Below are 26,397 nucleotides of genomic sequence, written 5' to 3' on the forward strand. Positions count from 1 at the left end.
TTGAACCTCTGCATAGCAGGATTCAGATTCCCTTCCAAGCGCATCAGAACTAAGGCTAGCTCTGGCTGGGCATGGTGGTTCACGCCTGTAATCCCAGCACTTAGGGAAGTCGAGGCGGGAGGATCACCTGAGGTCAGGAGTTCAAGATCAGCCTGGCCAAAACGGAGAAACCCCGTCTCTACTAAAAATACAAAAATTAGCCAGGCGTGGTGGCGCGTGCCTGTAATCCCAGCTACTCAGGAGGCTGAGGCAGGAGAATTGCTTGAACCCGGGAGGCGGAGGTTGCAGTGAGCCAAGATCGTGCCACTGCACTCCAGCCTGGGTGACAGAGAAAGACTCCCTCTCAAAAAAGAAAACAAACCACCAAAAAAGAACTAAGGCTAGCTCATCTCACCAGTCCTTTATGATCTAAACCAGTGCTGTCCCCGGTGGCAGCTGCTGGCCACATGTGGCTAATGGAGCACTTGAAATGTGACAAGTCCAGATTGAGACGTACCCTCGATGCAAAATACACACCAGTTTTAAGACCTGGTACAAAAAAGAATGCAAGATATCTCAATAACTTTTATTTTGATTGGATGTTGAAAGGATTATACTTTAGATATGTTGTGTTAAATATATTACTAAGAATAGTTTTACTTATGTTTTCTTTTATTTCATATGGCTACTAGTAAATTTAAGATCATAGGAGGGGCTGGATGCGGTAGCTCACACCTGTAATCCCAGCATTTTGGGAGGCCGAGGCGGGCGGATCACCTGAGCTCAGGAGTTTGAGACCAGCCTGGCCAACATGGTGAAATCCGGTCTTTACTAAAAATACAAAAATTAGCTGGCAGTGGTGGCGGATGCCTGTAATCCCAGCTACTCGGGGGCTGAGGCAGGAGAATTGCTTGAACCTGGGAGGCAGAAATTTTAGTGAGCGGAGATCACGCCACTGCACTCCAGCCTGGGTGACAGAACGAGACTCCGTCTCAAAAAAAAAATCTGAACTTTGTCTGGATAGCGACGGAGGGTGTCTGAGCAAAGCACGATGTTCTCAGAGCCATCCAGAGACTGGGAACTCTGTCCTACCAAAATGGGTGCACCCAGAGGAGCTGGAAGATAGAGATGCCCTGTGGGTGACTCATCTGGTTGCCCCTTGGTGGCACTGAGCCAGGCAACAAGCGGGAAAGGCTTGTCAATGATAACGGCAAGACCAACGATCACCAGGCAGCCAGGTGCACCCGGTAGCCCTCTGTGGGCAATTCTGCATGTATGACCTTATTTAGTCATACAGCTAGGCAAGGAGGTGACACTAAGCATTTGAGTACTGATGGGGTCTTGAATGAACAAGTAAATGAATGAATGAATGGATGGTGGCCGATGACTGTCATCTCTAGTTCTTACATTATGTATCTTATGCATCAGACTACACGGCATGGATATTCAGTGCAATGGATTTGATTGTGAATTGAGGCCCCCTTTTGCAATCTTGTTGCATGTTATGTTCGTGGAGCTCCTGCAATGAGCAGAGGCTGCTAAGCAGAAGCAGCGCACAGGCTGGGGGCAGGACACAGGGCCCCCGGCCTCAGGGGAGAGGTCTGTTCCAGCCACCTCAAGTCTATTCCTGTGAGTGCCCCTCCACACCCCTCCTGGATCCCCCCACTGCAAACTCTCTCCCCCTGGCTCCGGACTCTCTCCCCGTCCTGGAATTAATAAAGACTCTGTGCAGACTGCGGTTTGCAAGTCTGAAAGCTGGTTCCTGCCCGTGTCACTGCCTCGAGAAGAGAGGGGTCCAGCTCCCCACAGTAGCCCCTGCCTTCCTCCTTCCCAGGCAGGCGGAGGCACGCAGATATACCATTGACTTCCCCTCCCCTGCAGCAGGCACATCCTGGGCATCGAGCTTCAGACCCTGCCCCTGAGCAGCCCCTAACCCCACCAACAAAGGGTGGCTTGGGGGGGCTTTCACCCCAGCATAATCTCCATCAGCTACCCTCAAAGCACCCCCAAATAAACACACACCGTAAGTAAGAGCTGTACACTGGCTGTGTGCGTACATCTTCAAGACAATTCTCCCAGCATGCCCCTACCTTCCAAAATTCCAGAGCTGCTCCCTCCAAAGACCCAGGGAAAAGGAAGGGTTTGTCCAGGGTCCTGGGGTGGCCCCGTATAGACCAAAGCCTGATAGCTGTCCTAGAAGCAGAGTACTTGCAGAGCGAGTGACGGCAACTGTGGTATTGACACCAGTCCTAGCACCAGCTGAACACAGAGCATTTTTGATCTAGCAGAAATACAAGACCACGTTGTATTTGTCTTTGCAATAATCTCTTAGCTAGGAATACTGATCACCTGTAGACAGATAAGGAAACTGATGCTCTGTGGAGAGGTTTTCCTACCAGAAAGGCTAGAGCCAGAAATTTACTTCTAGGTCCACCAATACCTGCCTTTGACCAATGCCTGCATTTGACCTTTCCACGCTGAGCCACCCCTGCTGGCACTCCAGACTGCCACAGTGCTCCTGCCTCCACAAGGGGTCTTTAACTCATCCCTCGGAGCCATCGTGGTGCAGGGAAAAGCCCACAGGGCGTGTGGCTTCCATGCTGTTCCCTGACTGGCTGTGACCTAGGACAAGGAACAAGTTTCCCTCTCCTATTCTCTAGGTCTCACATTTCTTCTCCTCTAGCAGTAGTGGGAAGTGAGGGGTGGGGGACACGACCCTCCCCTGTTCCATCCCACACTCCAACCCCCAAAATCCCCCAGGGTCCCCGTCCAGCTCAGTCCTGGGGGCAGAAATGCAGAGTTCTCCAGGAACGTGGTCCCAGCTGTTTCAGTGCAGGCCGCCCCCTCCTGGCCACCAGCGGAATGTCAGCCTTCCCAGAGGGGCCGGGAGAACAGCAGTCGAGAAGCTCCCAGACTGGTGTGGGCGCTAGCTGTGCTCAGCGTGGGGATGGGAGGTGACCCAGTGATAATGGGAAGCTGGGCTGCCTGTCAGTCTGCGGGGGGCTCCCACCTCCCTGTTCCCCCACAGGGCACCTGGGGATCCAGCCTGATTTTTACCAGACCCTGCGGCCTGCATGGGGCTGGGTATAGGGCTGTGACCTTGACCCATGCAGAATAGAACCCTGTGTGTCGGGATCCTCCATGTGCTCCAGATGCCCCTGGGGACAGCACCAACATGGCCTTAACTCCCAAGCCATTCCCCTGCCTCTAACCCCCTGGCATCTGCAGGCATCCACCCCAGACCCACCCAACACCTCCTCCCCAGCTTCAGGCGCTAGGCAGAGACCTTGGCCCCTGCAGAATGCAGCCCTGTCCAGGGTCCCCTACCTTCCCCCCAGATCCCTCCCAGAGCAATACCAACCCGGGCCTACCTTCCAGGCCATTCAACCTGCAGCCCCCCGGCCTCTGTAGACATCGCACCCCCCAAACCCCCAGACCTGCCCAATGCCTCCCCTCCCCAGCTTTGGGCAGAACCTGTCTCTAGCCAGACCTGGGGGTGTTGGGGAGTCTGGAGGGCCGGGGTGGGGGCTGAGGCGCGGGACAGCTGGCCCGTATCCTCACACTGGGCCCGGGGCCCAGCCGGAGGGGCGGGGGCCTGGCCACTCGGGCCTTGGCTGGGGCTGGGATTTTTGGCCTGGCCGCCAGGCCCTCCCTTCTGCTTCCTCTCCCGAGGGCTGTCCTGGCAGAGGCCCCCCTCGCTCTTTCTGGCGGGAACAGGGCCAGCAGCGAAAGAACAGTCGCAGAGGGAAAGCGGGAAAGAGATGGGGGAAAGTGTGTGTGTGTGAGTGTGTGCTTGTGTGCATGTGTGTGCGTGTGTGTGTCAAGGAAAAAAGCTCGCAGTCCAGCAGCCCGGGCCTGGGAGGCTTGTGAGCCGGGCCTTTCGTAATTGTCCCCTCCCCGCGGCCCCCTCCCCCAGGCCTCCCCCCTCTCCCGCCCTCCCGCCCGCCCTCTCTCCCTCCCTCTTTCCCTCACAGCCGACGAGGCAACAATTAGGCTTTGGGGATAAAACGAGGTGCGGAGAGCGGGCTGGGGCATTTCTCCCCGAGATGGCGGGTCTGACGGCGGCGGCCCCGCGGCCCGGAGTCCTCCTGCTCCTGCTGTCCATCCTCCACCCCTCTCGGCCTGGAGGTAAGGACCCCTCGCCCCTGTCCCCAGCGCTGCCCACAGCTGCGGGCCCTTTGGGCCAGGTGACTAGACGCTCAAGGGGGAGACCTTCGTCCCTGGGAACTGCAAGGGGTCCCAGGTGGGAGCCCCTCAGCCACTGGGTCCTCGGAACTGCCCCTCCCAGGAGCCAGCCCCGTGCCCAGGAGGAACCTGTCAAAGAGACACCCTCGACTCAGAATAGTCCCAGCCCAGCATCCAGGCTTTGCTGCCCTGCGAGGGCTGAGGGGGCCCCTGCTCAGGTGCCCGGGTGCCCGCCCTGTAGGGGGATCAGAGCATCCTGGGGGAGGGCCCAGCGGGAACCCCTGGGTCTGGAGACACCACAGTCTGCACACCTGTGGACACAGCTGGGGTGCACACCAGCCCTGGGGACAGGGAACCTGGGCTTGATACCAGCTCAACCGCAGTGAGCTGTGTGACCTCAGCAGGTTCCTTGACCCCTGGGAAGCCGGGATCCCCCCGTCAGGAAGGTCAGGGCTCCGCTGAGGATGGGTTTGCAGGTTGGGAAGCTGCTGCTGTGTTCTCCCTGCTGAGGCAGGCAGGGACTCCTGGTATGCATTTGTGTGTGTGTGTGTGTGTGCATGCACACAGGAATGAGCGTGCTGTGTGCTCGTGTGTGTATGTGTGCATGCACAGGTGTGCATGTGTTCAGATGCCCGGCTGTGTCACTGAACAGGGAAAGGGATTTCTGGAGGGGTACATATGTCTGCTCACAGGTTCATCCTTAGGCAGGTGTATGCGTATGTTTGGAGGAGGTATATGAAGCTGCTCCTTAGTGTGTGCAAAAGTCTGCCACCTGACAGACATGTAGACATGTACACATGTAGACATGGGCGATCTGGCATCCAGGTGTGACACTGGTGTGGACTGTCACTGTGTGTGTTATGGAGTGTGTACATCTGTGTGTGTGAATGTGTGTGCGATGTGGCACGCAAGCATGGAAAGGCGGGCTGGAGAAGGTGTCTGTCTCCTGGCAGAGGCAGTGTGGCTGAGACAGAGGCTGGAGTGGATCCTGGGGCACTGCTGGGCCATCTGCTATGTGCCCCAACCCAGGCACAGTTGGTTATGGGGTTTGAGGGTGTGCCCTGTGGGGCTGCTATGCCGCGGCCAACGGGGGAGGACAGAAGAGGCTCCCGGGCATGGGAAAAAGGAGGGCATTTGGTAGGGGGGTCTGGGTGGAGTCTGGTTTCCTCGGGAGTCCTCCTTGCCATGAGAACCAAACGCTGAGTGGGGGGCGGGAGGGCCACGGGGTGGAGTCAAGGGCCTGGGCAGGAGCTGCAGCTGTTTCCGTGAGATTGAACAGCTTCCTGTGCAGGGTCCGCTGCTGGACCTGGATGAGGCCAAGGGACATGGGTACCCACAGGCGGGCCCCAGCAGGGGCAACGAGCCAGGGCCTGAAAGCAGCAGCCCCGGGTCCGTCTCAGCCTCCTCCCCAGGTGTAGCCCCCAAACACCCAGCCACCCTTCTTCCCAGATGGGGCCACCACCTATAGGGTGGCAGTTCATCATCAAGGAACCTTGAGAATTAGAAATTATTATCATCACTTGACAAACAAGGAAGCTGAGGCTCCGGCAGGCTAAGGCAGTCCCCGGGGGTTAGTATCAGCCAGCTCTCTGCCCCAGGTCAAGGGGCAAGGGGGTTAGGAGTGAGCTAGCAGGCAACATTTGGGGAGGGGAAGGCTTGGGGCTGAGTCCTTAAAGCAGGCATGCCCTAGGCAGAATCAGCTCTCTCCTTGTGTCCTCAGTGACACCGCTAAACGCCCAGCTGGCCTCACACTTTGCAGAGATCAATCTCAGCTCTGTCCCAGGTGGCTGGACTTGCTAGGTCCAAATAAGGGGTGTGTGAACTGATGAGCTCGTGTGGGGTTTTGCACAGAAGTGCTACTGAAGTCTGCAGAGGTCGGGGAGCCAACACAGGGAGTGGAGCGCTCAGTCACATGCTCACTGCCACTCACCTGGCTGTCCTGGGGGAGCCTGGCTTCTCCCTCAAGGAGGAGGGTGTCACTTATGCAAGTTCAGCGGCTCCAAGGAAGGAACCCTGTTGCGGGGGTGGGGGAGCAGGAGGAGGGGACAAGCCGCACAGCTCCCAGGCTGTTTCAAAAGTGAGCATGAGAAATTAACCCAGGGATAATTCTTCCCCATCCCCCAGAAATAGTATCAGGGATTTTTTTTTTTTTTTTTCCTGATTTCAGAACTGAAGATGGTTTGGAACAGAGGTTTCCTTTTCTTTTATTTTCCTTTTTTATTTTTATTTTTTTACCTTTTTTATTTTTTTTAAATTGAGACAGGGTCTCGCTGTGTTGTCCAGGCTGGTCTGAATTCCTGGGCTCAAGTGATCCTCCCACCTCCGCCTCCCAAAGTGCTTGGATTACAGGCATGAGCCACTGCCTCTTTTTAAATATTTTTTTAATTATTGTTTTCCGTCCTTAAGTAGGAACAGGGGTTTTCAACCTGGCTATCTATTAGACTTCCCACCCAAGAATCCCTGCTTGCTTTGGTTGGAGAGGGACCTGGACACAGACTTTTCAGGCTTCCCAGGTGACGGTGGGGTCGCCAGGGCCAAGAAGCACTGGTTTAGAGGTCGATCCCGCTCTGTGTGTCTGCCGAGGCCCCGGCATGAGGGCAAATGTGCCCTGTGTGGGAGGGGACACAGTCACCCAGTGGAGGACAGCTTGTTTTTGAAAACCCTTGGCAGCCTTCTGCATGCAAACAACAAACAGCTTCGTGTGGTCTTATCTGCTCCCCAAGCCAGCCCCCTGGACTTTGGTTTGGCAAAGCCCCCTGCCAAGATCGGCTGGCCCCAGGCTCGCTCCCAAACAGGCTGCTTCCAGCTCTTTGAACCTGGAGCCCAGGGCCCAGGCAAATGGCCCTACATGTGACTTGGGGTCAGCTGGGGGTCCCAGACCAGGCTCTTCAGCTCACTGGTTCTCCATTTCCCTGGCTGCAAAATGGGGAGAAACAGCCCTGCCTGAAGTACCTCCTAGGGCCAGTGAGAGCTTCTAGCAATGTAATATCTGGGGGGAAAAAAAGCATCAAATAAAAGGACCGTGGGAATGGGCATTTTTAAAATAATCTATTCTCTTATTCAGAGTCTGCTAATTTGGGCTCATGGATCCTTGTAATTAGTGCACATTGCTAAGGTTTAATACTCCCTCTCACTACTTACACCATGTTTTGTCTAGTGGAGGGGCAGCTAATGTGTAAATAGATGTGCAATGATGAAAGAAGCAGACAGGACTCGGTTGGGGGTGGCCAGAAGGAGCCTTGAGAAATCCAGGAAGGCTTCCCAGCAGAAGTGACATTTGAGTTAAACCTAAAGAGAAAAGTAAATGGGGCCAGGTGCAGTGACTCATGCCTGTAATCCTAGCACTTTGGGAGGCCCACATGGGCAGATTGCTTGAGCCCAGGAGTTTGAGACCAGCCTGGGCAACATAGGAAGGCCCCCGTCTCTATTTAAAAAATAAATGAATATTTAAAAAGAAAGAAAAAGAAAGAAAGAGAGAGAGAGAGAGAGAAAGGAGAGAGAGAGAGACAGAAAGAAAGAAAGGAAGGAAGGAAAGAAGGAAGGAAGGAAGGAAGGAAGGAAGGAAGGAAGGAAGGAAGGAAGGAAGGAAAATGTTGGAGGACCTGTCTGTGGATGAGGGGTAAGTCCCCAGACTACAGGCCCTGGCAGGCAGAACTGAAGAGACAGAAGAGCAGATTCTCGATTGGAGGAAGCCCTGTCTGCAGTTAGTGCTGACAGCATTTGGAGGTGGTGATTTTCCCATCATGGGAGGTATGCAAGCAGAACACGAAGGATGTTTGTGGAAGGAGGTCCAGCCCAGGCCAGAAGACTATTATGATCCCTGAGAGTCTAGGATCGTGATTCTAAGATGCAAGAGACAAGTTCCACCCTGGGCTAGTCGGTGAAACATGCCAAAACCACATAAAACAAGACAAGTGTTCTCCAGGCCAACTGCTTAGGGCCAGCTGAGCAGCACAGTCAGGGAGAGCCGTGGGCTCGGGAAAGGCAGGCGGGAGAGTCTGAGCTCAGCCCTGGTGCGGGGGTAGGACTTGGACAGAGGCAAGGACATTCCTGGCAGGAGAAACGGCTTGTGCCAAGGAGTGGAGGGAGAAGTGAGGATCGCCACGGGGCCTGGGGAAGCAGCTGTTACCTTTTCAAAGTCCTTTCCAATTTCCAGCTGCTGTCATTTTATTCTCACCTCTCTCACTTGCAGAGAGGCAGGAATCCTTCGTAGCCCCTAAACCTTCTCCATTTCCTCATTGCAAAGTGGGGATTAAAACCTCGGGCTCCCCAGGCCGTCAGGTTCAGGCATGAAGTTTGGCAAATGCCACCATCATCAGGGTCTGAACGGTGGGGGTGGAGAGTGGGGACAGAGGAGATCTGGGGGAGGGGAAGCTAAGTCTTCCCCCCAGAAAGTGCCTGGGGTGCAGGAGGGCAGAACCCCAGGAGAAAGGAAGTCAGGGTTCAGCCAGGCCCAGGGGCTCAACAAGCCCAAGGCAGGGGGACTCCCAGGGCAGATGGGGATGAAACAGGTTAGAGCTGGATTCACAGACAACCACCCTGCCACCCCTCTACTTAATTCACCCATCATGTATTGAGTAACTACTGCATACCTGGCCCTGGGCCACGGACTGTGCAGTGAAATGGGAAAAAATGAAACGTAAGTGCCACTGTCTTTTTATTTTTGAGCAATTACTGTCTGCCAGGTCCAGAAGAGGACATAGCCTATTACTTGAACCCTTTTACAACTTGCAGCAACCTTGCAACCTTGCAGCAACCTTGCAACCTTGCAACAACCAAGTGATTATCTGCCCCATGTCACAAAAAAGGAAACCGATGTTCAGAGAGGTTGAGTGACTTTCCCAAGGTCGCACAGATGGTAAGAAGCAGCGAAGGCAGAATTAGAAGCCAGAGGGGTCTGTTCTGAGCACTTTGCTCTTCCCCCCACCTCCACCACACTGTTCCCTGCAGTCTGCTCTGGAGCCAGAGAGTAGAGAGGAAGGGAGAGAGGCACGTGAAGAATGAGGGAGAGGGGGAGAAAGAGGAGGAAGGAGAGAGGCCGAGGCAGAGAAAGACGCATAAGAGACTGTTGAGAGCTGGAGGCCGGAGCCAGGGAAGGCATCAGAGGCCCGAGGCGGGCCATGTGTGTGCTTGGCAGCGGATGACAGGGCCCAAGTGCTCCTTCTCAGCAGGCCCAGCCCCCCTGGGGCCACCACTCCGAGCCTTGAGGTTCTGACCAGATTACTTGCACACTTCAGGCCTGGACTGCAGTGCCTGAGGAGCCACAAGCCCTGGGAGGGGGTGGCGCCGGGGTCTTGGCTCCGGTGGCTGTGACAGCTCCACAGCCCTGACCCTGCTGGGCTGCAGCTGAGGCTGACAGGGCCCTGGGGCCAGCAAGCCCAGCTGTGCAGCGTCGCCAGGCCTCAGAGGCCAGACGTCTGGCCGCGAGGCCTCCCTGGACACATTGCAGAGACACCCGTTCCCCCAGCCCCGCCCATGCCCCACGGGGCTCCCGGCCCCTTTCAGCAAAAGCAGTAAGGGAGGGCTGGGCTGGGGCGTTGGCAAGGTGGCTTGTCAAGCTCAGAGGGGGGCCTTCTGAGGTGGAGGCAGGGCCCCCGGTTTGGGACCCTGTCTGTTGCCATGGCGATGGCTCAGGCAGGGTCTGGATCCAGCATCACAGCGTTCCCCAGTGAGAGCTTCACTGGTCCATGGGGACTGAACTCGTGATCCTGTCTGGCCGGTGAATTCGCTTTTCCTTAGGAAACTATTCACTGTGCTCATTCATGGCGTCCCCCTGCGGCCCCGGCGCCTCCTAAGACAGCCCGTGTCAGACGGCCAGAGCCCCACCCAAGCTCGGCTGCCCAGTGGCTGAGGACGCTGACCTCACGCCGTCCTATCAGTGTGGGAATGGCTGCATTTGTGCTGGCAGCTGCACCTCCTTAATGCTCGCTGTAGCAGCCCAGCCTGCCCTTCCCAAAGCTCTGGCCTCTACCCGGCAGCTCAGCTCGGGAAGGGAGTGGGCTGCCTGGTGAGAGGTGCTCAGACCCAGTGTCTTCCACCCCAGGCCCTCTCCCTGACTCCAGGGAGAACCAGGTAACACAGCAAGAACAATCATACTCTAAGGACTGGCAGCAGGGCGCAGGGGCCTGTCATCCTAGCACTTTAGGAGGCCAAGGCAGGAGGATCGCTTCCAGGAGTTCCAGACCAGCCTGGGGAACATACTGACACCCCATCTTTACAAAAAAATCAATTAGCCAGATGTGGAGGTGCACGCCTGTAGTCCCAGCTACTTGGGAGACTGAGGCAGGAGAATCGCTTGAACCTAGGAGGCAGAAGTTGCAGTGAGCTGAGATCTTGCTACTGCACTCCAGCCTGGGTGACAGAGCAAGACTCTGTCTCAAAAATAAAGCACTGGCCTGAGCTTCAATCCAGGCCCCGTCTCTTTCCAGCTGTGTGGCCCCAGGCATGTCCCTTAACCTCTCTGAGCCTGATTTCATGTCTTAAGATGATAGTCTCTGGGAGCGGTGGCTCACACCTGTAATCCCAGCACTTTGGGAGGCCGAGGCAGGCAGATCACTTGAGGTCAGGGGTTCAAGACCAGCCTGCCCAACATAGTGAAACCCTGTCTCCACTAAAAATACAGAAATTAGCCGTGCTTGGTGGCATGCACCTGTAATCCCAGCTACTCAGGAGGCTGAGGCAGCAGAATCGCTTGACCCAGGCAGACGGAGGTTGCAGTGAGCTGAGATCCCACCACTGCACTCCAGCCTGGGTGAAAGGCCAAGACTCCGTCTCAGTCTCAAACAAAACAAAATGATGATAGTAAGCCCTGCCCTTCCAACTTCACAGGCCGATTTCAAAGAGCAAGAATGAGAACACACTTTGTAAACAGAAACTGCTCTGGAGACAAGCAATGTCATTATTGCCATCAGCATTATTCTTGTTTCCATGTAATTGTGGGTTTTGCCATTGAAAGTAATGGCAAAAATCGCAGTTACTTTTGCACCAGCCTAATAGTTCTGGCTCCTGGAGGACTGACTCTACCTGTTTCCTTTCAGGGGTCCCTGGGGCCATTCCTGGTGGAGTTCCTGGAGGAGTCTTTTATCCAGGTAACGTACATGAAACTTCCACACACCCAGGTCATGCGGATGATGCTGATGTCCATAATAGATGCACATTTTGACACTACAGAAGGTAGGAACATTGACACGCCTACCAGAAGTCACACCCACTTAAAAATGCAATTAACAAGACATTGATTTACAGCTATTAAGAGCATACAGGCTGGACATGGTGGCTTATGCCTGTAATCTCAACACTCTGGGAGGCAGAGAAACAAGGATTGCTTGAGGCCAGGAGTTTCAGACCAGCCTGGACAACATAGTGAGATCCCCCTCTCTACACACACACACACACACAAATTTAAAATTAGCCATGTTCTGCATTGAGAAAAATGAAAATGAAGTATAGAAATTAAAAAAAAATTAGCTGGGCATAGTGGTGCACGCCTGTAGTCCTAGCTACTGGGGAGGCTGAGGCAGGAGGATCACTTGAGCTTAGGAGTTCAAGGCTGCAGTGAGCTATAATAGCACCACTGCACTGAAGTCTGGGTGACAGAGTAAAACCCTGTCTCTAAAAAGAAAAGGGGAAAAAAAGAAAAGAAAAATCAAAAGTAATACTTTCAATACTTAAAAAGTATTTGAGGCCAGGCACGGTGGCTCAAGCCTGTAATCCCAGCACTTTGGGAGGCTGAGGCAGGCGGATCACAAGGTCAGGAGATCAAGACCATCCTGGCTAACACGGTGAAACCCTGTCTCTACTAAAAATACAAAAAATTAACCAGGTGTGGTGGCGAGAGCCTCTAGTCCCAGCTACTCGGGAGGCTAAGGCAGGAGAATGATGTGATTGAACCCAGGAGGCGGAGCTTACAGTGAGCCGAGATCGCGCCACTGCACTCCAGCCTGGGCGACAGAGGGAGACTCCGTATAAAAAAAAATTAAAAAATTAAAAAAAGCATTTGAGTGTACAGAAGTGACCTGGAAGTGGGGAGAGACGCCAGCACTCCCCCAGATACATACTGACACTGGACTACTGGCCAAGCAGAAGAGAAAACCGAGGCTTGCAGAGAGCAGGTCTTGCCCAAGGTCACGTAGTTAGGCAGAGGTGGATTCAGCCATAGCTGGGGGTGGCAGCGGGCTTGCCTGGCAGAAGTACCGATGATCTCTCTTTCTCTTTCTCTCCCCCCACAGGGGCTGGTCTCGGAGCCCTTGGAGGAGGAGGTGAGCTCAGAAACCACACTTGTTCATCACTGAAAGGGCCTGGGTTTCACCCGAGCCACATGCATCCTCAGACCTGAGAACCCTGGGAGACCCGAGCATCAAGGACTCCCTCATTTCACAGACAGCATCCAGGCGGTGGGAGGAGGCTTCTTTGAGAACCAGAACCCATTGGCCTTCCCAGTCCCTCCCCTAGACTTTATGTCTGGTGCCCTCTGCCTTCCTATTTCTTCTTTTTTTTGGTGGGGGAGGACGGGGGGACAGAGTCTCGTTCTGTCGCCCAGGCTGGAGTGCAGTGGCGTGATCTCAGCTCACTGCAGCATCTGCCTCCCAGGTTCAAGTGATGCTCCTCCCTCAGCCTCCCAATTAGCGAGGACTACAGGCGCGTGCCACCACGCCCAGCTTATTTTTGTATTTTTTCTAGAGACAGGGTTTCATCATGTTGGCCAGGCTGGTCTCGAACTCCCAACTTCAAGTGATCTGCCTGACTCGGCCTCTCAAAGTGCTGGGATTACAGGCGTGAGCCACCTTGCCCGGCCCCTTGCCCGGCCCCTTCCTATTTCTTTTTATCCTCAAAAACCTCCCTGCCAAGCCGGCTGAGCAGGCACCATCTTCTTTTTTTTTTTTTTGAGACAAAGTCTTGCTCTTGTCACCCAGGCTGGAGTGCAGTGGCGCGATCTCAGCTCACTGTAACCTCCACCTCCCAGGTTCAGGTGATTCTCCTGCCTCAGCCTCCTGAGTAGCTGGGATTACAGGCACATGCCACCACGCCTGGCTAATTTTTGTATTTTTAGTAGAGACAGGGTTTCACCATGTTTGCCAGGCTGGTCTCAAACTCCTGACCTCAGATGATCCGCCTGCCTCAGCTTCCCAAAGTGCTAGGATTACAGGCGTGAGCCACCACCCCCAGCCCATCATCCCCTTTTGAGGCTGAGACTCTGGGACTCAGAGAGTATAAACCACGAGTTAGAAGTAGAGCTAGGTTCCCAGGGGCTCCAAGTCTGAGCGGGAGGACCTGGGGTGTGTGATTCCACACTGCCCACACTTTGCCCGGGTTGGGGGTTGGATAAGTAGTAGATGGATAAGCTGGGCCACCCCATTCACTATCTTCTCTTCCCTCTGCAGCGCTGGGGCCTGGAGGCAAACCTCTTAAGCCAGGTAAGACCCAAGGCCTCGGAGCATTGAGAGACAGCGAGGGAGCTGGGGAGGGAGGAGCCTACCCAGCTGGGAATGGGACAAGGAAACTAGGAACAGGACAAGGAAGCCAACGGGCAGGAGGAAGGAGGGAGGTGTGGACACCGATTAGCCTCCCAAGGATGAGTAGGCCGGGGCCAGGTCCCAGGGCTTCCAGGAACAAGAGGCTGGAAGCAGCTCCATGTCCTCCCTGTGTGAGGGCGTCTAGCATCTACCCTACATGTGCATGTGTGTTCACCCAGCTGTCCAGAGACTCCTCTCTGCAAAGGAGAGGCTGTTAGAGGCAACATCAGGGATTGCTCCGGTTCCAGTGGCCTCCAAGCCTTACATGACCCTCGGGAGCTCAGACACAGATCCTCAGCCCCAGACTTCCCCTGAGTGGTCCCCTAGCCCTTGACCCCAGACCAATACCCCAGATCACCCTGACCTTGATGCCATTCTGAGCCCTTCTCCTGACTCCAGATGGAGCACTGGTCTCAAGCCAAAGCTTAACCCCAGCCCAAGCCCTGAGCCTAATCCCAGGCTGAACCCTGACCCTGCTGACCCTGGTCCCACAGGACCCCCAATCCTGGCCTTAGGCCAAGCCCTGACCCCAAGCCCAAGCTGAGCACCGACCATGGCCCCGGATAAGCTCCCCTCCTAATCTCAGGCCCTTTCCAGCTGTGTCCAGACCACGGAGTTTTCCAGTAAGAAGGTGTGGCCGGATCTATCCTGGCCTCGCCCAAGGGGCTGGGATCTGCCACGAGGGTCCACTCTCAGCTCTGGGGAATGCACCCCCAGGAAGGAAGGTGGGGCAGGTCCCTCCGGGAAATACTGGCGGATAAGGAGCAGGTGGAGGAAACAGCGTCTCTGTCCAGATTGATGGTCCCTCGGCATGAGACGCTCCACATGTGACTTTGGCCGCCCCACACCCTGAGCTGTGTTGCCCTGGCTCAGAAGCCCAAGTCTCCAGGACACAGTTTAGATGTCCAAGAGCTCTTATGAAATCCTGATAGTTGATAATCCAAGTGCAAATGAATCTTCAAGACCCAGATTCCCCTGCGCTAAAAGTCCATCTGGGTTGTGAAACACCAGGGCTGGAGCCAGGAGAGGCGGGAGAACGGGGTGCCTGGGGTCTACAGGGCTCTGCAAGGCCAGGAGACCCTGGGAGCTTGCCACTTATCCCCGCCAGCACCTATACCCTGTCTTCCTGGAGCAGGTGAGGGTTCTTAGCAGGGTCTTTGACGGTGAAGAGAGGACAGGGGAGATGATAGTGGTGCAGAGGTGTGGAGGTAGGTCTGTGCTTGGCCTAGAAGACCCAAATTGAGGAGGTTGTGCCTGCAAAGCTGGAGGGTACATTCATTGATCCCACTAGGAGCAAGAGACACATAGCAGGTTGTGGTTAAACACCAGAGGAAAGACAGACAACTCCCTACGAAGTTCCAGGATGTGTAGTTGCAAAAGTGAAGCTTTTGTTAATGAAAGATTTAGGTTAGACTTCTGAAAGAACTTCCAGCTCAGGGTGAAGGAGTCAATCCAAAGGAAAGTCAGAGCATCTCCTTCTGATAAAAAGGGCAGTGTTTCCAGGCAAGGGGCTGGATTCCATGACCTCCCCGAAGACTCAGGGCTACAGAAGGGTCGGCAGAGCCCCCATGGCACCCCCAGGGAGGCCCCCACATCCGGGCTGCCAGGACGTCTGGGCCTGCCCAGGCAGGATGGAATGGAGCACAGGCAGCGCGTGTCATGCTTGGGAACAATTAATCCCTTGGTGACAGAGGGTGGGTGGCCTGGCAGCTGCTTTTCCACGTGGGCGCCACCACAGGTCCAAGCTGGCCCTGCCCTGCCTCAGCTCTCAGCGGGGGACCAGGCAGCTGGAAGCCTGCACACCCAACACCCTGAGCACTAGCCAGAGGCCAGCCGCCCACTGAGAGGGGCACGGGCATGGACAAGAAGGAACTGGGAGCACCCACTGTGTGCCCTGGGTAGGTTGCACAACTAGGTGCTTTCTGCACACATGCTCACTGGTCCCAGCAAGGCAGGTGATATAATGGCCATTTTGTAGATGGCAAAAACTAAGCCTCATCGGAGAGGCAAATTGACCTGCTTGTGCTCATGGAGGCTGGGTAGCAGCAGCAGGGTCTGAATCTAGAACTCTCTGACTCTAGAAAGAAGGAGGATGGAGCTGGCCAGGTCCCTGGACTCCCAGCTGTGGTCAGCCCCTCCCCGCTTTCTCCTCCTTTCCAGATGCTAGAATCCTTGGGGCATTTGGGGCAGGTGAGTGCAAAGGAAGGAGGGCAGGCAGAGACAGAAGTGGTCAGGCCACATGACAGGATGCTCAGGCTGGGATCATGGGAAAAAGGAAGATGGCCCCAGAGAAGCTGCCTGCCCCCCACTGCAGCCCCAGCCTCTTCTCACTTCCTGTGCAGTCCTCAGCTTCCCCTCCCAGCCCCTCTGTGGACAGGAAAGGTCTGAGCATGTCCCTTGCCCTCTCAGAGCTCAGGAAACATGCCTGGCTTGAGAGAAGCGACTGCCAGCGCAGGTGGGTCTGGCCCGGGTGCTGGGAAGTGACTCCTGCCTGATCGCCAGGCACTCCCGCCCGGAGGCAAAGATGCTTCTTACATGAGGCTGGCTGAGTTTCAGAGGGGTCCAGCTCCCACTAGTAGGAAATGAGGGACGAGGAGTGGTTAGTAACGGAGACCACACCCAGGGAAAGCCAGGGGGGACCTCTCCAGGGTACAGCAGGCTCCATGTTTGGGATCCATCCCTGGAGAGGACTCACCCCTGAGGCTCAGGACTAGCACTTGTAGGAGAGATCGTCACATAATTAGAAACAAACCTGGCATGGTTGTGAACTCTGACCTGATGGCCCATTGGTCCTGGCCAAGGCAGTGGAATGTCTCCCGCAGTGGGAGACGAAGCGATTGGGCCCAGATGTGGGGAGGAGAGAGCCAGAGGGACCCATTTGGCGTCTCATAAACATCTTAGTAGGAGGCTCCTGGGCTGCAGGGCAGGCTGGATGGAAGGACAGATGGGTAGTGGGGACACAGGAGTTCCCCGATGCAGGTGAAGGGGAGGGGACTGAGTCAAGAGATATCTGCAAGGAAGCAGAAGAGAGACCTCACTGGCCTGGGGTGAGGTCTCGCTCACGGACTCTGCTCTGTCCCAGCCCTTGCTGAAAGCCCTGCTGAATCTTGTTAGCCAGCAGGGCTTCTAGGAGAAGCACAGGCCTGGCCCAGGCTTGTTAGGGATCGGTGCAATGACACCTGCACTGCACATAGTAGTCGCTCACTAAACTACTGGTGGATGCTATTTTATCAGGATCGACCCTGAGCATCACAGGCTTAGGGACCAGCCTAGGGACCTGAGTGGCTGATCACAGCACTGCCCTAACTCCAGGAGACATTTCCCACTCTGGGCCTAGGAACACTGCCTACACTCCTGTCTCTGTTTCTTATCCACAGTTCCCGGAGGGCTTGCGGGTGCTGGCCTTGGGGCAGGTGAGTGCTGACACCCAAGAAAGATATCCCCTGTGGGGACCAGCCCCTGAGCTCAACCCAGGGCTGGTATGCAGCACGGTCATGGAACAAGGGTGCAGGCCAGGTTCCGTCCTGGGCACTGACGGGGACTGATGCTGATACCAACTGCCCCAAGCAGCTGCCCAGGACATGAGGAAATCACAGCTGAGTACCTGGGTTCCTTTATAACATAGTAGTGAAGGCTGCATGGAGGAAGCCCCATGGACCAAGGAAGCCCAAGGGAGTCGCTTAACTCAGCAGGGGTTCAGGAAGGCATTCTAGAGGAGGTGGGTGGGGAAATTTGACCCCAAAAGATCCATGCAGTTTTCAGGAAGGCTGAAGTGAGAGGATCCCTTGAGCCCAGGAGGCTGAGGCTTCAGAGAGCTATGATCATGTCACTGCACTCCAGCCTGGGCGACAGAGAAAGACCTCATCTCTTTTGTTGTTCTTGTTGTTGTTGAGACAGAGTCCCACTCTGTCACCCAGGCTGGAGTGCAGTGGCTCAGTCTCAGCTCCCCGCACCTGGTGCAGTTGATCTCAGCTCACCACAACCTCCACCTCCCCGGTTCAAGTGATTCTTGTGTCTCAGCCTCCCAAATAGCTGGAATTACCAGTGTGCACCACCACGCTCGGCTAATTTTTGTATTCTTAGTAGAGACGGGGTTTCACCATGTTGGCCAGGCTGGTCTCGAACTCCTGGCCTCAAGTGATCCACTCACCTCGGCCTCCCAAAGTGCTGGGATGACAGGCTCAAGCCACCGTGCCCAGCCACAAGACCCCATCTCTAAAGGGAAAAAAAAAAAAAGAGCCATGCAGTTTTGTCAGAGCTGTCTAACACATTAACCTCGGCACACAATCTAGTTCTGGTACTTAGGCGCGGTGGCTCACGCCTGTAATCCTAGCACTTTGGGAGGCTGAGACGGGCAGATGGCTTGAGCCCAGGAGTTCGAGACCAGCCTGGGCAACATGGTAAAATCTTGTCACTACAAAAAATACAAAAAAAAAAAAATTTGCCGGGCACAGTGGCATGCACCTGTAGTTCCACCTACTTGGAAGGCTGAGGCGGGAGGATTGCTTGAGCCTGGGTGGTTGAGGCTGCAGTGAGCCAAGATCGCACCACTGCACTCCAGCCTGGGTGACAGAGTGAGACCTTGTGTCAAAAAAAAAAAAATCCATTACCGGTGAGCAGTGCTCACATGGATGTCCTGCAGGCATTGATGTCTGGCAGAGAGCGGAAGAGCCTCCAATGTGCTTCCTGAGTGGGGCACAGCCAGGCAGGGCCAGAGCGTAGGAGTCTTCATAGGTGTGGTAGCTCAGGACCTCACCCCATCCTCCCCTCCGCAGGGCTCGGCGCCTTCCCCGCAGTTACCTTTCCGGGGGCTCTGGTGCCTGGTGGAGTGGCTGACGCTGCTGCAGCCTATAAAGCTGCTAAGGCTGGTGAGTGGTGCTCTTTGGGACATGCCACAAGCCCTCTGGCTTCCGTGGGGCCCTCCGCTTTGCAAAGAACCTTCCCTCAACTCAGGCTTGGGAGCCGGGTGGGTGGGATTGTCAGTTGCAATCTACTGGGGCTCAGGGAGGCAGCTAGCTGTGCCCAGTCTGAAGGTGAGTTAGTAACGGGGCCAGACCTCAATGCTGGGCCCTCAGCATGCAGCCCCGGGCCCTTCTGCCTCCCCACTGTTCCTTACGCAATGCCTCACCTGTCCTGGCTCTGCAGGCGCTGGGCTTGGTGGTGTCCCAGGAGTTGGTGGCTTAGGAGTGTCTGCAGGTACGATGGCTATCCCCGAACTCCCTGGGTCAAAGTTGCAGGCCTGGGTGGAGCCAACTCTGATGCAGCCCCTTCTGTGCCAGGTGCGGTGGTTCCTCAGCCTGGAGCCGGAGTGAAGCCTGGGAAAGTGCCGGGTCAGTGCGGAATCCCTGGGGCTGGAGGACAGAGGGCAGGGAGGGGCAGAGGGCAGGGAGGAACAGAGCCCTCTCCATGCCACTGCACTTGGGGAGGAAGGGCAGGGCCTGGCTTCAGTCGGGCAGAGAAACTAGCCAGGCTGGTGCCTGCGTCTGTGAAATGGGGAGGAGGGGCCTGGCCCACTTCCCGGGCCCTTCTCCCGGGATCTTGGGGTAGAAAGAGACGGGCTCTGTGGCAGGCTGTCGGGCGACAGATGGGGAAACTGAGGCTCAAAGAGGCGAGTCAGTGTGGAAGGGCCTGCAGCGAGTCCCGGCAGAGCTGGGGGAGCCCCGTGTCCTCTGACTCCCCATCTGGTACTCGTTCTGCCCCACCAAGCCCTTTAGGAAGTGACTTCAGGTTAAACAAAAGACTGCCTGAGTCTACGCAGCAGGGAGGGACATCTGGAAGCTGTTAGCCAGAGGTGGGCTGGCCCAGCCATGTAAACAGGCTCCAGGAGACGGAGATAAATCCACACACCGAAGAGTTTGCAGATGACTTCCGAAACTCGTGGGAGGAGGGTTGTGGCCACCCCACGTCTGTCCCTGGCTGCCCCTGTCGGGCACAGAGGCTGTGGGTTTGAGGGCCTTGGAGCTGCCTGGGTGGGAAGGGCTGGGGAGGGGTCCCTGGAGGCTGAGCTGCTGCTAGTAACTTTGCTTTCTTTTGGCCACAGGTGTGGGGCTGCCAGGTGTATACCCAGGTGGCGTGCTCCCAGGTGAGAGCAAGGAGGGAAACAGGGACTCTATAGGAAGAAAGCAGCCAGGACGCAGTGGCTCATGCCTATAATCCCATTGCTTTGGGAGACTGAGGCAGGAGGATGGCTTGAGGCCAGGAGTTTGAGACCAGCCTGGGCATCATAGTAAGGCCCTCGTCTCTACAAAAAAATTTAGCCAGGCATGGTGGTGTGCACCTGTAGTCCCAGCTACTCGGGAGGCTGAGGTGGGAGGATTGCTTGAGCCCAGAAGGTCCAGGCTGCAGTGAGCTACGATGGTGCCACTGCACAGCAGCCTGGGTGACAGAGCAAGACCCTGTCTCAAAACAAAGAAAAAGAAAAAGGAAAAGAAAAGCAGCCCCCTCAGCCTCCCTAGTACCCCCCTCGCCTCCCCGAAAAGCAGAGGCCACCAGAAGCCCTGGGTCCTGACCTGAGCCATTTCCCCAAACTCCAAAGCTCAGGCTAACAGACATAAGGTCCCTGGCAGTCCGTCCATCCCCTGAAGGTCAACCAGCCTTCCTGCACCCCACCCAAGCCCTGATCCCAGGCACAGACCATCATCACAGCCCGAGGCGGGCCCCCGAGGACAGATCCCAGTGTGACCAGCTATTTCCCAAAAGCTGTGAGTCACCAAGGGGCCACCCAATGAGTCTGCCCTGCAGGAGACCCTAAAGAGCTGCCCCTCACCCTCCTTTCCCCTGCCAGGGCCTGACCACCCCACCCAACATGTGACCTCCTGAATTCCCCCAAAAGCCCAGATTTAGGCTGTTATGTGGGATTTGCTGATGGAGTGGCCCTTCCTCCCTCTCTCCCCCACTACGCTGAAAGCCAAGGCTGCCCAGCCCCAGGGGAGACAGGAGAGGTGGAAGACGCTGGCATGGTCCCAGCTGTAGCTGGATGGCTGCTTTGGGGGTCTGGGTTGTGAGCGAGAGCCCCAGAGAGCATGGGCCTCCCTGGTCTACGGGCGAGTGGCACCGCGCAGCAGCTGTCCCTCTCTTTACCTTTTCTGCGGAGGGTGGTCGAGACGGCTTTTGTGATTAACTCCAGCATAGAGATGAGGCTGACTGAGGCACCAGCTCACATGGCTGGGAAATAGGATTAAAACTCAGATCTTCTGACCTTGAGCCAGACAGGGAAGGAAAGTCAGCACTAAACAGGTCCTTTCTCCACCCACCCCGTGAGCCGTGCCTGTCACTGACAGTCAGTCCCAAGGGAGGTCAGCTGGGGGACCCGAGGAGGGGAGGGGTTCCCAGCAGGGCCTGCAAGGCCTGCCTTCCTACACTCACTGCTTTGTCCCCCGGCAGGAGCTCGGTTCCCCGGTGTGGGGGTGCTCCCTGGAGTTCCCACTGGAGCAGGAGTTAAGCCCAAGGCTCCAGGTATGCAGCTGTCTGGACAGAGGGCTGATGGCAGGGACTCTCCAACCACCTTCTGGCCCCGGGTGTGAAATGGGGTGGGATCCTGGACTGGCTCAGGGCCCTCTGGGTGACACTTTTTATGTTCCAGCCCTGGGCAGCCTGGTGCTGAAAAACCTCAGAGTGTGGCTGGGCACACTGGCTCACACCTGTAATCCCAGTATTTTGGGAGGGTGAGCTGGGAGGATCGCTTGAGCCCAGGAGTTAAAGACCAGCCTGGGCAACATAGCAAGACCTTATCTCTACAAAAACATGATTAAAAAATTAGCCGGACATGGTCACACACACCTATGATCCCAACTATTCAGGAGGCTAAGACAGGAGGATCTCTTGAGCCCAGGAGATCAAGGTTGTCGTGAGCTATGATCACACCACTGCACTCCAGCCTGGGCAACAGAGACCCCGTTCCCCCGCAAAATAAGAAAGAAAGAAAAGAGGGCCAGATGCAGTGGCTCATGCCTGTAATCCCAGCACTTTGGGAGGCCGAGGTGGGCGGATCACCTGAGGTCAGCCTGACCAACACGGTGAAGCCCTGTCTCTACTAATAATACAAAAATTAGCTGGGCGTGGTGGCCTGCACCTGTAATCCCAGCTACTTGGGAGGCTGAGGCGGGAGAATCGCCAGAACCTGGGAGGCAGAGGTTGCGGTGAGTTGAGATCACCCCATTCCACCCCAGCCTGGGCGACAAGAGCGAAACTCCATCTCCGAAAAAAGAAACCCCAGAGTTCATGTGAGCGCAGCATGCGATGACTGGTCTGGGAAGAACTGGCCATTCCTTGGGCCTCCTGGCCCCTTGGTGCTGTCTGGCCCAGTGTCCACAGTTCCAGGGCTGTAGTGACAGCTTTTTATCATTACAGGTGTAGGTGGAGCTTTTGCTGGAATCCCAGGTGAGGCAAGGCTGGTGGGAGAAGCAGGGTGGCCAGCCAGGCAGAGGCTCTGGCGTTGGGAGGGGTTGGGCACCCAAGATCCCATCCAAGCCTGCCCAATTTCTCCCACGCCTGCAGAGCCAGGTCTTGCAGTGGCTGTAGCACAAAGTGGCACCCATCCCAGGCCTGCTCCCCCCACTGGCATAGCAGCCCAAAATTCAAAGGAGTCCAGAAAACCCTCCAGCCTGTGCCAAGGGCTGCAGGCCCAAACTGGGGCCCAGGCCCCAGGAGGGAGAGAATCCCGTAGCTTCCTGGAGGAAGTGGCCTGTCACTGGGAATTTCTCAACTGACCCATGATGGAGATTCAGGGAGTCCCTCGAAGCAGGATGGTTTCTGGATGCTGTAGCAAGCTCCTTCTGTCTGAGCAGAAAGTGGAGTGGGTGGCGGAGGGTTTGGAAGGGGGTGCTGGGACCTGAACTTGCTCTCTTTATTCCCACAGGAGTTGGACCCTTTGGGGGACCGCAACCTGGAGTCCCACTGGGGTATCCCATCAAGGCCCCCAAGCTGCCTGGTAAGTCAGAGGGACGGTTCAAGATGCACCACTCGGCCGGGTGTGGTGGTTCACACCTGTAATCCCAGCACTTTGGGAGGCTAAGGCGGGCAGATCACTTGAGGTCAGGAGTTCAAGACTAGCCTGGCCAACATGGCAAAACCCCGTCCCTACTAAAGATACAAAAATTAGCCAGGTGTGGTGGCATAGGCCTATAATCCCAGCTACTGGGGAGGCTGAGGCAGGAGAATCTCTTGAACCCAGAAGGCAGAGGTTGCAGTGAACTGAGATCGCGCTACTGCACTCCAGCCTGGGTAACAGAGTGAGACTCTCCTCCAAAAAAAGAAAAAGAAGAAAAAAAAAATGTACCACTCACTGCACCTCCCTGCACAGAAGTCAGCCTGGGTACAGGTGTCTCTGGTGGCAGGGAAGGGGTGTTGAAGCCCCTGTATGGTCACCAGCCAAGGAGAGCATGGGAAAGTCATCTGCAGGTATTGAACTCACACACACACGCTCATGCACAGAGACCCATAGTCCCGATCTGAAGCTATTAGGCTGGTGGAAAGGAACACGGTTCATTGGAAAGATCCCTCTAACATCCACCCACTCGTGCTCCCGCCCCTACCTCTGCAATCAGCTTAGACAATAAGATGCTTTCCACTGAGGAGGGGGTGTAAGGAAAATACTCAGACTCCAGGGCCATGATGGGGCTTGAATTTGTAGGGGGATGGGTGTTCCATGGGCCTCGGGGGCAGAGGTGTCCTCTCCCTCCTTCACCCAGCGCCTTTGCTCTCCTGGGAGCAGCTCAGGACCCTGATGTGGGAGGTCTCAAGCTTTAGCACCTGTGGGGGTAGATCTGTCCACCCAGGTTGGTGGGAGCCCAGCAAGGCATGGGGCAGCCCCTGAGTTTGCTCTGTCCTCTCTCCAGGTGGCTATGGACTGCCCTACACCACAGGGAAACTGCCCTATGGTGAGTGAGACCCTTCTAGACTGTGGGCTTCCAGCTCTTTCCCTCTCCAGGGTCCTAGCAAGGGTGCTGTGCTTCCAGCCCTGGGCCAGGAGAGCACCTCGCTGGGGCAGGGTTGGGGTCTTGGAGTGGGAATCTCAGAAGGAAAGGGCATGGAATTTGGACTCAGCATGGGTCTCCATCCCTGCCCTCCCACCTATCAATAATGAGACCTTAAGTGAGCTGTGTTGCTTCTTTGAGCCTCTGTGTTCTCATCTGTAAAATGGACATAACAACTCCATACATGTGTTTGTATTTGTTTTCACTCTGGCTGGGGGTGACAGGTGCAGACTCAGGACAGCTTGGGCCCCGAGGGCAGAGCAGGGGGAGGGGGAGGGCAGCAGTGGTGATGTCTGCACAGATGACCATCAAGCCTCTCTGTTTTGCAGGCTATGGGCCCGGAGGAGTGGCTGGTGCAGCGGGCAAGGCTGGTTACCCAACAGGGACAGGTAAGGAAAGCCTCACGTCACTTCCAGCCAAGGGAGCACTGATCTTCCAGGCTCCAGAGCCCTGGGGTGGGTGAGGTTCCCTCCTGAAAGCAGCAGCCCACCCTGCATCCAGACCCTGGTCCAAACCTGGAGCAGGATCCTGGGGGAGGAGTGGGGCAGCTCCATCAGCCTCTGCCTACTCTGAAGCTCCCATGTATACCCACATGTCAGTGGATTGGCTCTCTTGGGGCTGGGAACAAGTGGGCTCTGGAGATACAGGAGCACTGTTTCAAGGTCTCTCCCCTCTGCTTCCTTCCCCCAGGGGTTGGCCCCCAGGCAGCAGCAGCAGCGGCAGCTAAAGCAGCAGCAAAGTTCGGTGAGTGCCCCTGGAGTCCCCACCTGGTGGCCTCCAGGCCCCTAGCCTCTCCATTCCCATTACTATTGACAGCCTGCCTCCAAAGTGGCCCCTACATACCCCCATTTACTCAAAATTTTCAACATCACCCATCTATCTATCCCTCCCTCCAACCATTCTTCCATGCATCCATGTATCCATTCATCCTTCCATCAATCTATTACTTTCTCCATCCCTCCCTCCATCCATTCCCATTCCTCCATGCATCCATCTATCCATCCATCCATTCATGTACTCATCTGCCCATCCATGCATCCATCCACTCATCCGTCCATTCATTCATCCATCCATCTCTCCCTCCATCCATTCATCCATCCATCCATCCATTCCTCCATGCATCCATCTATCCATCCATCCACTTATCTATCCATTCATCTACTTATTTACACATCCATGCATCCATCCATCCATCCACTCATCCATCCACTCATTCATCCATCCATCTCTCCCTCCATCCATTCATCCATCCATCTATCCATCCATCCATCCATCCATCCATCCATCCATTTCTCCATGGATCCATCTATCCATCCATCTGTCCACACATCCATCCATCCATTTATCCATCCACCCACTCATCCATCTATCCATTCATCCACCCATCCATCACTACCTCCCTCCATTCATCCATCCTCCATTCCTCCATGCAGCCATCTATCCATCCATCCATCCACTTATCCACCCATTCATCCATCCATCAATCCCTCCCTCCATCCATTCTTCCATCCATCAATCCCTCCCTCCATCCATTCTTCCATCCATCCATCCACGCATCCATCCATTCCTCCATGCATCCATCCATCTATGCACCCATCCATCCATCCCCTCATCCATCCATCCATTTATCCATCCATCACTCCCTCGCTCCATTCATCCATCCACCATCTATCCATCTATTCCCCCATATACCCATTCATCCATCCAACCATTCCTCCATGCATCCATCTATCCCTCCATCCATTCCTCTAGGCACCCATCCATCCATTTCTCCATGCATGCATCCATCCTTCCATCCATCCTTCCATCCATCCATCCACCATCTATTCCTCCATGCATCCATTCATCCATCCATCCATTCCTCCATGCATTCATCCTTCCATCCATCCATCCACCCATCAATTCTTCCCTCCATCCATTCTTCCCTCTATCCATCCACTCATCCATCCATTCTTCCCTCTATCCGTCCACTCATCCATCCATTCCTCCATGCATCCATTCCTCCATGCATCCATCTATCCATCCATCCATTCATCCATCCACTCATCCATCCATCCATTTACCCATCCATCCACTCAATCCATCCATCCATCCATCCATACATCAATCCATACATCAATCCACCCATCCATCACTCCCTCCATCGATTCTTCCATCCATCCATCTGCCCATTCTTCCATGCATCCCTCCATCCATTCCTCCATGCACCCACCCATCCATTTCTCCATGCATGCATCCATCCTTCCATCCATTCATCCATCCATCCATCCATCCATCTATTCCTCCATGCATCCATCCACCCATCCATCCATTTCTCCATGCATCCTTCCATCCATCCATCCATCCATCCATCCATCCATCCACTCACCCATCTATCCATCCATCCATCCATCTACCCATCAATTCTTCCTTCCATCCATTCTTCCCTCTATCCATCCACTCATTCATCCATTCTTCCCTCTATCCATCCACTCATCCATCCATTCCTCCATGCATCCATTCCTCCATGCATCCATCTATCCATCCATCCATTCATCCATCCACTCATCCATCCATCCATTTACCCATCCATCCACTCGTCCATCCATCCATCCATCCATCCATCCATCAATCCATCTATCCATCACTCCCTCCATTGATTCTTCCATCCATCCATCCATCCATCTGCCCATTCTTCCGTGCATCCCTCCATCCATTCCTCCATGCACCCATCCATCCATTTCTCCATGCATGCATCCATCCATCCA

The 26,397-nt window shown here is 55.4% G+C and overlaps 1 protein-coding gene across 55 annotated transcripts in view, besides 4 other annotated features; it reads left to right on the plus strand.

The window, feature by feature from the left end:
- Window positions 2,422–3,394: an enhancer, noted in NCBI's record as "H3K4me1 hESC enhancer chr7:73440914-73441886 (GRCh37/hg19 assembly coordinates)". NCBI's record gives its function as "activates a minimal SCP1, AML or CMV promoter by ChIP-STARR-seq in naive H9 embryonic stem cells {active_cell/tissue: H9 hESC(naive)}" and the evidence as "EXISTENCE:reporter gene assay evidence [ECO:0000049][PMID:30033119]".
- Window positions 4,011–26,397, plus strand: part of ELN (elastin) — a 41,735-nt gene continuing 19,348 nt past the window's right edge. For 11 of the 55 annotated variants that reach the window (NM_001278939.2, XM_047419981.1, NM_001278915.2 and 8 more), the window contains exons 1-15: window positions 4,011–4,107; window positions 11,202–11,252; window positions 12,393–12,422; window positions 13,545–13,577; window positions 17,054–17,089; window positions 18,452–18,544; window positions 18,822–18,872; window positions 18,956–19,006; window positions 19,717–19,758; window positions 21,060–21,131; window positions 22,026–22,055; window positions 22,534–22,605; window positions 23,513–23,554; window positions 23,980–24,039; window positions 24,341–24,394. In NM_001278939.2, coding sequence (NP_001265868.1) covers window positions 4,026–4,107; window positions 11,202–11,252; window positions 12,393–12,422; window positions 13,545–13,577; window positions 17,054–17,089; window positions 18,452–18,544; window positions 18,822–18,872; window positions 18,956–19,006; window positions 19,717–19,758; window positions 21,060–21,131; window positions 22,026–22,055; window positions 22,534–22,605; window positions 23,513–23,554; window positions 23,980–24,039; window positions 24,341–24,394 — 799 coding nt within the window. In that variant the 5' untranslated portion in view covers window positions 4,011–4,025. Of the gene's footprint in view, window positions 4,108–11,201; window positions 11,253–12,392; window positions 12,423–13,544; window positions 13,578–17,053; window positions 17,090–18,451; window positions 18,545–18,821; window positions 18,873–18,940; window positions 19,007–19,716; window positions 19,759–21,059; window positions 21,132–22,025; window positions 22,056–22,533; window positions 22,606–23,512; window positions 23,555–23,979; window positions 24,040–24,340; window positions 24,395–26,397 lie in introns of all 55 variants that reach the window. The other 44 variants (XM_011515868.3, NM_001081754.3, XM_011515876.3 and 41 more) reach the window with 14 other exon arrangements.
- Window positions 4,367–5,338: an enhancer, noted in NCBI's record as "H3K27ac-H3K4me1 hESC enhancer chr7:73442859-73443830 (GRCh37/hg19 assembly coordinates)". NCBI's record gives its function as "activates a minimal SCP1, AML or CMV promoter by ChIP-STARR-seq in naive and primed H9 embryonic stem cells {active_cell/tissue: H9 hESC(naive and primed)}" and the evidence as "EXISTENCE:reporter gene assay evidence [ECO:0000049][PMID:30033119]".
- Window positions 9,003–9,630: an enhancer, noted in NCBI's record as "H3K27ac-H3K4me1 hESC enhancer chr7:73447495-73448122 (GRCh37/hg19 assembly coordinates)". NCBI's record gives its function as "activates a minimal SCP1, AML or CMV promoter by ChIP-STARR-seq in naive H9 embryonic stem cells {active_cell/tissue: H9 hESC(naive)}" and the evidence as "EXISTENCE:reporter gene assay evidence [ECO:0000049][PMID:30033119]".
- Window positions 9,631–10,258: an enhancer, noted in NCBI's record as "H3K27ac-H3K4me1 hESC enhancer chr7:73448123-73448750 (GRCh37/hg19 assembly coordinates)". NCBI's record gives its function as "activates a minimal SCP1, AML or CMV promoter by ChIP-STARR-seq in naive H9 embryonic stem cells {active_cell/tissue: H9 hESC(naive)}" and the evidence as "EXISTENCE:reporter gene assay evidence [ECO:0000049][PMID:30033119]".

Source organism: Homo sapiens, chromosome 7 (assembly GCF_000001405.40).
Source record: "Homo sapiens chromosome 7, GRCh38.p14 Primary Assembly".
NCBI classification, from domain to species: domain Eukaryota; kingdom Metazoa; phylum Chordata; class Mammalia; order Primates; family Hominidae; genus Homo; species Homo sapiens.